The following is an 11,131-nucleotide window of genomic DNA, read 5'->3' as shown; positions in this document are numbered from 1 at the left end:
TCAGAGCTCAGCCTTCCATGAGCACTCTTTAGGCAGCTTTTTAAGCCCTCTTGTCCCACGGGCAGCTACAGTCCCTTCTGCCAGTGCTAGCTGCATTTCCCCGGCCCTTGGCCCCAGCCAGAGCCAGAGGTTGAGGTTGGGAGCCCTCGCGCTCCTATGAGCATGGCCATGGCCTCCGAGTAGGCTCCTCAGAGTGCTGGGACCCCACCCAGGTGTCTCAAGGGGCCGCAGGGGAGGACTCAGGGGCCTGGACTTCCCAAATCTGACTTAAAAAGGACTAGCTGTGCTTTTGTCTATTTATAGGTTGAGCTTTCGTATAAAGTTTTCTTTGAGGAAAGAGTCCTGTGGGTAGCAAAATGTCCGAAATAAGATGGAAGGAAGACTTAAATTGGATAATGATATGGCTTTTTCTCACTAAGCATGTCCCGTGTTCCACGTTACTTTTGCTACTGACGATGGAAAAAGCAAGCTCTGCCAAAGTATTTAGAGGTTTATCCTGAGTCTATGCAAGTGAGCCATGGAGGCTTGGGAAACACAGCCTCAAGAGGTCCTGGGAAAGTGGTCCTGAGGCCACTGGGTTACAGTTTTATTTTTTATTTTTAGACGGCGTTTCACTCTTGTTGCCCAGTCTGGAGTGCAACGGCGCCATCTCGGCTCACCACAACCTCCACCTTCTGGGTTCTAGCCATTCTCCTGCCTCAGCCTCCCAAGTAGCTGGGATTACAGGCGTGTGCCACCACGCCTGGCTAATTTTGTATTTTCTGTAGAGACGGGGTTTCTCCATGTTGGTCAGGCTGGTCTTGAACTCCTGACCCCAGCTTCCCAAAGTGCTGGGTTTACAGGCGTGAGCCACCACACCTGACCCTACAATTTGGACATTTCAGAGTGACAAGAATTGCAGGTAAAATCATAAATCAGTACATGGGGAGGGGGTACACATTCGTTTGACCTGAAAAGGCAGGACATCTGGAAGCTGGGGCTTGCAAGTCATAGTCGGTTGAGGATTCTTTAGTTTGCAATTGGTTGAGTTGAGGGAACACCTAAGGTAAGGGGGTCTGCTGTCTGCCATGTGATGCCAACGCCACGCCAGAGTTAGGTTGAAAAGGGAGCCCCAGGGCTGGCGCGGTGGCTCACACCTGTAATCCCAGCACTTTGAGGGGCTGAGGTGGGTGGATCACCTGAGGTCAGGAGTTCAAGACCAGCCTGGCCAACATGGTGAAACCCCGTCTCTACTAAAAATGCAAAAATTAGCCGGGTGTGGTGGCGTGTGCATGTAATCCCAGCTCCTCAGGAGGTGGAAGTGGGAGAATTGCTTGAACCTGGGAGGCAGAGGCTGCAGCGAGCTGAGATTGCACCACTGCACTCCAGCCTGGGTGAAAGAGCAAGACCCCATCTCAAAAAAAAAAAAAAAAAAAAAAGGAGCTCCAGTATACTGGGTCAAAAGACCTGTTTAATACAATTTTATGCCTTGTAAGCATGAATTTCCCCAGGCCCCTTAGAAAGGAATTTGAGGCCAGGCGTGGTGCCTCACACCTGTAATCCCAGCACTTTGGGAGGCTGAGGCGGGCAGATCACGAAATCAGGAGATCGAGACCATCCTGGCTAACACGGTGAGACCCCGTCTCTATTAAAAATACAAAAAATTAGCCAGGTGTGGTGGCGGGCCCCTGTAGTCCCAGCTACTTGGGAGGCTGAGGCAGGAGAATGGCGTGAACCCAGGAGGCGGAGGTTGCAGTGAGCCGAGATCGCACCACTGCACTCCAGCCTGGGCTACAGAGTAAGGCTCTGTCTCAAAAAAAAAAAAAAAAAGGAATTTGAGCCAGGAAAAAAAATCAGCAGAGTTTAGTCCTCATTCCCTTTGGGCTTCTCTTCCTGTCTGAACCTTTCCCTCATAGTACTGGGTGGGTTACTAAGCCTTTGGCTAAAAACTGGAGAAAATAGGATTCAAAGTAATATCATGAATGGTGAGAAAAGTCTATCATGTAACGGGAAGTCTCAAGGTAGGGCCACCGCAGAGGTGGCGAACCCAGTGGCTCAGCAGCAGAAGGGCTCAGGATTTTCCCACCTCCTCACCCTGCAACCCTCAGTGCTCAGGACGGCTTCCCTCATGCTCACAAAATGGCTGCTGCAGTTCCAGACGTTGGAGACAAACACAACAGTCCAAAGAAGGAAGAACCCATCTTCCACGCCATGATGTTTGTTGTTTGCTTTTAGATATAACATACATATAGAAAAATGTACAAATAAAGCATACAGCATGATGCCCTTTTGCAAGTTGGAAATATCCACGGAATGAGCCTCTAGACCAGGAAACAGTCCTTTAGCAGCACCTGGGAGGCTCCCTCATTCTCTCTTCCAGGCACTACCACCCCCAAGGGTGGCCTGCTTCCTGAGTTTTCATACCATAGAATAGCTGGGCCCATTTTATATACAGGTGCTCCTTGACTCACAAATGGATTATGTCCCAGTAAACCCATTGCAAGTTGAAAATATGGTAAGTCGAGGCTGAGCGCGGTTGTTCACGCCTGTAACCCCAGCACTTCGGGAGGCTGAGGCAGGCGGATCATGAAGTCAGGAGTTCGAGACCAGCCTGACCAACATGGTGAAACCCCGTCTCTACTAAAAATACAAAAATTAGCTGGGTGTGGTGGCGCATGCCTGTAATCCCAGCTACTTGGGAGGCTGAGGCAGGAGAACCTGGGAGGTGGAAGTTGCAGTGAGCTGAGATTGCACCATTGCATTCTAGCCTGGGCGACACAGCGAGACTCTGTCTCAAAAAAAAAAAAGAAAAGAAAATATGGTAAGTCATGTCAATCTAAATAACAGAGAGAGGTTGTTTGTTTGCAAGAAAAGATGTTTATTTCAGGATAGAGCGTTGCAATGGAAACACCCATGTTGTGGTAGCCTCTGTGTGTTCAGGGAGGTGAAGGAAGACAAAGACGTTTAAAGAAAAAAATGAGGAGGATCACACAATTGTTTGGAGACAATTATCCTTGGCCACAAAGATCAATAACAAGAGTAATGCTGAGGTTAGATGGCAGCCGCTGGGCAGATGTCCTTGCAGAAGCATTTTCTGTGTGAGGCTGGGATGGCTTTTGTGCGAGGTTATGTTTTTTGCAGAGTCTTTTTTGCTGTTGGGGATACAAGCCTGAGAATCCACTCTTTATGGCCTTCCCTGGCTCTGTCTGTCAGGTAATGTTATTTTCTTAACATTCATGACTTCATTTTGATTCTGACAACTTTCACAGTCGAAAATGCATTTAATACCCAGAGAAGCCTATTGTAAAGTCAAAAAATCATTAAGTCGAGCCGTCGTAAACCGGCCACCATCTGCGCTTGGAACCTCTAGCAGGCGCTTGTCTCTGCTGGTGTCTTCTGGAGGCCCCGAGGTCTGTCGGCACTGCTGAGGATCGGGTTGTCTGGTTCTTTCCGTGCTATGTGGCAGTGCGCACGCAACCACGCCAAAGGTACCTATCAATGCCACAGTGGAAGAGCTTTGGGGAGTTCTAGATTTTGGCTGTTTAAAATAGTGCTGCTATGAACATTCCTGCACAAATCTCCTTGTTTGTTTCATTGGAAGAATTGAGGTATAATTTATATAGAGCCTAGCCAACGTGGTGAAAGCCCCTCTCTACTAAAAATGCAAAAATTAGCCAGGCGTGGTTTGGAGGTTTGTCCCCTCCAAAGCTCATGTTGGAGTTTAATTGCCGAGGTGATGGTGTTAGGAGGTGGGGCCTGCAGGGTGAGTAGACTGTCAGGGGGACATCCTCCTGGGTGAGTTTAGTGCTGTTGTAAAAGGACTGAGGAGGCCGTTTTGTTGTAAAAGGCCCTTCTTGGCCTTTCTGCCTTCTGCCATGTGAGGGTCTCACCTTCCTCTCCTCTGGAGGACACAGCATACAAGGTGTCGTCTTAGATGATGTAAATAGCCTCACTGGACACCGAAACTGTCGTCACCTTGACCTCAGACTTCCAGCTTCCAGAACAGTGAGCCAATCAATTTCTTTGTGTTGTAAATGACCCAGTCTCAGGTACTGTTACAGCAGCACATATGGACTAAGATAGAGCTTAAATGTGCAACTCTGGAACGCACACCTTGACAAAATGATGTCATCTGCGTGACATACATATGTGACACACACATATAAAATAACGTGTCAGAGCCACACGTACTGAGATATGGGACATTCCAGAAACCCCACAGGCTACCTTTTTGTCTGTTTTAAAACATTGTATAAATGGAATCCCGCAGTATGGAGTCTGGCCTCTTTTATTGAACAATATGCGTCTGAGTTCGTCCACGCTGCTGTGTGTGCCGGGAGTCCCCTCGCTGTCAGCTGCTTTGCTGGGTGCAGCGTTGGTGTGTGAAAATGCTGGCGTCGTTAGCCTCCTGCGGCGCTCCCCTGCTGGGGGCATTTGGCTGTGTTGTTTTGGCTTTTAGAAGAATGCTGCTCTGAGCGTTCTCCGCATATGTTTTGGTGGACATAAGCCCTCATTTCTACCGGGCAAATACCCGGAGTGGGACACGTATGTGCTTAGCTTTAATAGGCATTGCCAAACACTTTTCCAAAGTGGTTGTACCGATTCCTATTTCCACGAGTTTTGTAAACGAGCTCTAGTTGCTCCACAACCTTGCCAATGCTTGCTATAGTCGGCCTTTTCGGTTCTAGCTATGTTGCTGGGTGGGTAGTGGCACTTATTTTGTGGTTTTAGTTTTCATGTGTGGAAATTGACAGCCAGATTCTAAGATTTATATGAAACCAACTGTATTAGTTAGGGTTCTCTAGAGGACAGAACTAATAGGATCTATCTATCTATCTATCTATCTATCTATCTATCTATCTATCTATTTACCTACCTATCTATCTAAAGGAGGGTTTATTAAGTAGTATTAACTCACACGATCACAGGGTCCCAAAATAAGCTGTCTGCAAGCTGAGGAGCAAGGAAGCCAGTCCCAGTCCCACAGCTGAAGAACCTGGAGTCTGATGTTGGAGGGCAGGAAGCATCCAGCACGGGAGAAAGATGCAGGCTGGCGGGCTAGGCCCGTTCAGTCTCTTCATGTTTTTCTCACAGACACACCCAGGATCAGTGCTTTGCATCCTTCAATCCAATCAAGTTGACACTCAATATTAACCATCACAAGTCCACCCTTTGTCAACTTGAACCCATACACATCTGAGATCATACGTAATCTTCAAATAAAGACAATAATAAAGTCATAATTACGCCTAACATAATACAACTATCCATCGTACAACCGGAAGTGCACCCATCCCCAACGCAAATACTATTACATAAACTTAACGATACTTAAATGCCGATATGAAGCCAATGAATCTTATGTCACATGATAAAGGAAAAAGGAAATAAAATGAAGATATCTGCTTAGTACAAGTGTATACATGCACAAATATGTTTTTAACAAAATAAGCAGGAAATACTCCTGACGATTACAGTCCTCGTTTCTGCAGCTGGTCACGTGGTCGTAGCTGGTATTGATGACCACCTTCTTCTACTGCCCATTTTGTATTCCCTTTGCCTTCAGCAAGCACCTCAGCAGGTAGTGGTTTTTTTCCTGGTGGAGTGACCCAAACCTTCATTCCTGAAGGGTCTGGACCACTTGTAGTCCTGCCTGGTTTGGGCTGTTGTAGTTGCCCATTGACCTTAATCACAGGGCATGGTAATACTAAGAGATGCCCTAATGGATCTCCTGTATTCTATACATACTCTTCCTTACCTCCAGTGTGGAGTAGTAGACTGATTTCATCTTGATAGTCTGGGTCAGTCACCCCAGCCAACACTGTAACTCCCTTCTTAGCCTGTTGACTTAAATGTAGGAGGGGCTCAAAGTGTCCAGGTGGCAATCTTAACTTCCAGTGTAATGGAATCGTTGTTGTGTCTCCTGGTGGCAGCGTTCCTCCCTCTGGAACTAAGACCTCTAGGCCAGCAGGATGTAATGTTGTGGGAACAGGAAGCAAAAATTTTGCTAGTGGATCATTAGGGGTGATGGTGAGTGGTGCCACTTCCACCCCTTGATTTCTAGACCCGTGAATCCTGGCTATGGGAGAAACAGTGTCATATACTGGAGGCTGATTCAGAGCATGCATAGTGTTCTGGAGAACTTTGCCCCAGCAAAGTATTATCACCTAGTTGTCACCCATTCCACTGTTCTATCAATCCAGCTGCTTCAGGATGATGGCGAACACCAACCATACGTTTGAGGCCTTTTGACTCTCCAATTCGGTTGCTTGGGCCTGCATAGCCACCAAAAGTGTTGCCTTTTTCTCTGTCCTTAGCAGCAGCCTCTGCCTTGTGCAGAGCCACATTCTCAGCCAGCCTCAAGTCAGCAACTGCCTCAGAGCAAAGGGGCTGCGGATTTTCAGGTCAGCTCTGAACGGTCTCTTGACTCTGGAATTTTAGTTTATCTTGTTCTCATTGCTTCTCCAGCTCCCTATTGTCTCAAAAAATATGGTTTTGTGATTTATCTGGTTCTTTGATCATCGGTGGGAGACTGTGCCTGCTGGAAACCAATCTGTCCTACTGGAGGTGGCGTCCAGAGTGAGGAGACCTTTCTAATCACCGCCTAGCAGACATCCTCTGGGCCAGAGTTACTCTCCATGCCTTTGAGCAAACTAATTATGGACTGTTGCACCACACTTGGCTGAGAGTGATAAGGATTTACGCCTGGGCTGGGGTCATCTTCACTGAAGGGTACCAGCTGTGTATAGCCTGGCTGGGAATGCTGAAGACATAACACGTATTGGGAGCTGTAGAGAGAAGTTATAGTCAACATTTGCGAAGCTTGGCATTTTACGAAGGTTGCTACCTGCGTCCTGTCCACCAGCCCCTGCACTGGCCCTGAGCAACAGCCACCTGTGTCCTCTCCCCCGGCCCCTGCACTGGCCCTGAGCAACAGCCACCTCTGTCCTCTCCCCCGGCCCCTGCACTGGTCCTGGGCATCAGCCACCTGTTTTCTCTCCCCCAGCCCCTGCACTGGTCTTGGGCATCAGCCACCTGTGTCCTCTCCCCTGGCCCCTGCACTGGTCCTGGGCATCAACCACCTGTGTTCTCTCCCGCGGCCCCTGCACTGGTCCTGGGCATCAGCCACCTTTGTCAGCCACCTGTGTCCTCTCCCCCGGCCCCTGCACTGGTCCTGGGCATCAGCCACCTGTGTCCTCTCCCCCAGCCCCTGCACTGGTCCTGGGCATCAGCCACCTGTGTCCTCTCCCCCAGCCCCTGCACTGGTCCTGGGCATCAACCACCTGTGTTCTCTCCCCCAGCCCCTGCACTGGCCTCGTGCATCTGGGGTCCCCATCTTTAGGCAAGAAAGCCAAGGGAGCAGCAGGTCACCCAAGGGCAAACACATGGTGAGCATCAGAACTGGGGCCCCATCCCAGGCCCATCTAGGTCTGTTTTATTATTTTTATTTTTTTGAGACAGAGTCTCTTTCTGTCACCCAGGCTGGAGTGCAATACCATGATCATAGCTCACTGTCACCTCAAACTCTGGGGCTCAGGTGATCCTCTCACCTTTGACTCCTGAGTGGCTGTGACTGCAGTGGGGGCACCACCATGCCTGGCTAATATATATATATATATATATATATTTTAGAGTTGTGGTCTTGCTGTGTTGCCCAGGCTGGTCTCAAACCTCTGAGCTCCAGCAGTCCTCCCACCTCCGCCTCCCAAAGTGCTGGGACTACAGGCATGAGCCAGTATGCCCAGCCCTATGTCTGTTTTATAGACTTTGAAGTTTCTTCTGATGTAGGGCATGGCACGCTGACACTCCAGAGAAGAAAGGCAGAGTGCTTTGTCACTTACAGCTCCAAACAAGGAAGGCTGCTGGGCAGGGCCACACGGGGCACCCGGGGATGGGGTAGCAGCCAGCTGGGGCTGCCGGGCGGCTGGTGGGCGGCAGCAGGTGGGGTGGCTGGGTTGCTTGGGCTCCCTGTGGATTGGCTAGTTTGGGCGATTTTGAGCTCTGGGGCACAGGGCTGTCCACGGTTGTCTGGAGCTTAGCCTTGGGGCGATCCAGGAGGGTGTGCAGTGGCCTGGAGTGTGAGGGGCCGTAAAGGGCGTGGTCAAGGAGGGAACTGACCGGTCTCTAGCCAGGGCCTCAAAACTGGGTCAAGACAGCACAATAAAAAAACTACCTTAGCATAGAGCTGCAACCTGAGCCCAGGTCCTTCTGCCTCCACAGGCCCCATTTGTTCTCCTTGTAATTAGCCCCAGCTTCTTTCAAGTGCCAGGGACTCTGAGATTCTGGGCTAACTTAAAAGAAGACAGAACAAATAAGTGACAGAAATTCGGCAACTTTAAAAACATCATCCTTGGGCAGTCGAAGAGCCCTGTAGGGATAGGATGCACCTCCTCTTCTGAGTGCACACTAGAGAGAATGCAAACATCTCATTATGAAAATATCCGGACCCCACAGGGAACTCCACGCCCCTCATGCAGCTTCAAGAGCCGTGAACACTTTGCTGCCCTTGCTCTGGCATCCCAGCCTCTCTTTCGACCGTGTGTTTAAAAGCTAATCCCACATGTCATCGTCATCTGTGATGTTGCTGTGACTCTCTTAAAGGGGACATTTTCTTACAAAGCCATGATGCTGTTACCACCCCCACGAATATTTAGAATAATTTCGTCATGTGATCTGAAGCCGTGTTGATGCGGTTTGGCTGTGTCCCTACCCAAATCTCATCTTGTATTCCCGCATGTTGTGGGAGGGACCTGGTGGGAGGTGATTGAATCATGGGGGTGGGTCTTTCCCGTGCTGTTCTCGTGATAATGAATAAGTTTCACGAGATCCGATGGATTTATAAAGGGGAGTTCCCCTGAACAAGTTCTCTCTCTGCCTGCCGCCATCCATTTAAGTAAGACGTGACTTGCTCCTCCTTGCCTTCCACCATGGTTGTGAGGCCTCCCCAGCCATGCGGAACTGTGAGTCCATTAAACCTCTTTCCTGTATAGATTACCCAGTCTTGGGTGTGTCTTTATTAGCAGCGTGAAAACGGACTAACACACCTGTCTACATCTCTGTGTTCCTGATTGTGTGAAAGCATCTTTCTATAATTTGATGGGATATTCCTAACAAAGGCCATGTGCATTTGGTTGTTTTGGTTTTAGGGTTCTTAAAGTCTCCCTCTGTCTAAGGCAGTCACCCCAGCCTGCTCTTTTGTGATGCTGGCCTCTAGGGAGAGCAGTCAGCTCCATGTAGATGTTTCCATGTAGGAATTTGCTGTCCTTGGACTTGCTTCTCCAGCCTCTGTATTTCCTGTGTGGCTTGATTAGATTCATGTTCAATTGTCTGGGGAGAATATTTTACAGGAGGGCTTTCTCTTTTTTTTGAGACAGAGTCTTGCGCTCACTCAGGCTGGAGTGCAGTGGTGCGATCCCAACTCACCGAAGCCTCCACCTCCCAGGTTTAAGCAATCCTCCCGCCTCAGTCTCCCAAGTAGCTGGGACCACAAGTGTCACCACCCTGCCTGGCTAATTTTTTGACTTTTTGTAAGGATGGGGTCATGCTATCTTGCCCAGGCTCAGGAGTGCTTTCTGCCTCCCGTTGCACCACGTCATGAGGCATATAAGGTCTGGTTGTCTCTGTTGGAGTGAGCTGGGCTGGGCCAGCAGGTACCGGTGGTAACGCTGCTCCTGATACGTTTCGATCAACAGATGGGCAATGTCTGACCGATCCCAGTGGCCGAGAAGGCCTGTCCCATCATCCCAGCTCAGAGCCACCTGGAAGGGTACTCCCCACCCCTGCAGAGTCCCTGTGAGGTCTTCCAAGCCTGACCTTGAGGCTCAGTGTCTCCGCCGCCCAGTCCTTCCCACCCCTTCCTGCACTCCCTGACCCACCTCCAGCACGGGCCTTCCTGTCTCAGGGTCCACTCCTGGGAGATCCAAGCTGCTGCCCCGTGCCCAGGTGACATAGTTTGGGTTTGTGTCCCTGCCCAGATCTCCTGTTGAATTGTAATCCCCAACGTTGGTGAAGGAGCCTGGTGGGAGGTGATTGGATCATGGAGGCAGAGCTCCTCCTTGCTGTTCTCGTGATAGCGAGCGAGTGCTCTCCAGAGCTGGTTGTTTGAAAGTGCGTGGCACCTTCCGCTTCGCTCTCTCCTCCTCCTCCTCTCTCTTCCTCCCTCTGGCCACAAGCTGTGCCCGCTTCCCCTTCACCTTCTGCCATGATTGTCAGTTTCCTGAGGCCTCCCTGGCCCTGCTTCCTGTACAGTCTGTGGAAATGTGAGTCAATTAAACTTCCTTTCTTTATAAATTACCCAGTCTCGTGGGGTTTTTTTTTGTTTTGTTTTTTGTTTTTGTGTTTTTAGACAGTTTCACTTTGTTGCCCAGGCTGTGGGGTGCAGTGGCACGATCTCAGCTCCCTGCAACCTCTGCCTCCTGTGTTCAAGTGATTCTCGTGCCTCAGCCTCCTGAGTTGCTGGGACTACAGCCGCCCGTCACCATGGCTGGCTTTTTTTTTTTTTTTTTGTATGTTTTAGTAGAGACAGGGTTTTACCATGTTGCCCAGGCTGGTCTTGAACTCCTGAGCTCAGGCAATCTGCCTGCCCTGGCCTCCCAAAGTGCTAGGATTACAGGCGTGAGCCACCATGCCAGCCTCAGGTAATTATTTTAGCTCTGCACGAATGGATGAATATACCAGGTTTTTGTAACTTCCTTCTGGAGTCATCATGAACTCATGGCTCGGCTATGTTCAGTATGGTTTCATAAACTGCAGTCATTATTTTTTCTAAGACATTTTATTTATTTAGACAAATAAAAATTGTATATATTGTGTACAGCAAGTGGTTTTGAAATATGTGTACATTGTGGAATGGAAAATTGAGCAAATTAACATATACATTACCTCATATACTTAGCATTTGAAGCGAGAACATTTACAACTACTCTCAGCAATTTTCAAGAATACAATGTTTTTCTTAATGGTAGTCACCCTGTGAGACAATAGAGCTCTGGAACTTACTATACTGACTTTGGATGCTCAAGTGCTCCCATCTGCAGTGGGCTGAGTGGTCCCCACAAGGTATGTCCGAGTCCTAGCCCCAGGCACCTGTAATGTGAGCTCATTTGGAAAAAGGCCTTTGTCCTTAAGTTAAGGGTCTGGGGATGAGGTCATC

The 11,131-nt window shown here is 49.2% G+C and overlaps 1 long non-coding RNA gene across 1 annotated transcript; it reads right to left on the bottom strand.

The window, feature by feature from the left end:
- On the bottom strand, window positions 2,837-10,069 carry LOC107986906 (uncharacterized). The gene is made up of 2 exons (XR_007061137.1): window positions 9,855-10,069; window positions 2,837-6,767 (listed from the first exon to the last, which is right to left on the bottom strand). It is a non-coding gene; the product is annotated as an uncharacterized LOC107986906 (long non-coding RNA).
- Window positions 10,070-11,131: the final 1,062 nt, after the last annotated feature.

The sequence above is a fragment of the Homo sapiens genome, chromosome 8, assembly GCF_000001405.40.
Source record: "Homo sapiens chromosome 8, GRCh38.p14 Primary Assembly".
Taxonomy (NCBI): domain Eukaryota; kingdom Metazoa; phylum Chordata; class Mammalia; order Primates; family Hominidae; genus Homo; species Homo sapiens.
The sequence above is the reverse complement of the archived record's forward strand: the minus strand, read 5'-3'. Positions and strand labels throughout refer to the sequence as shown.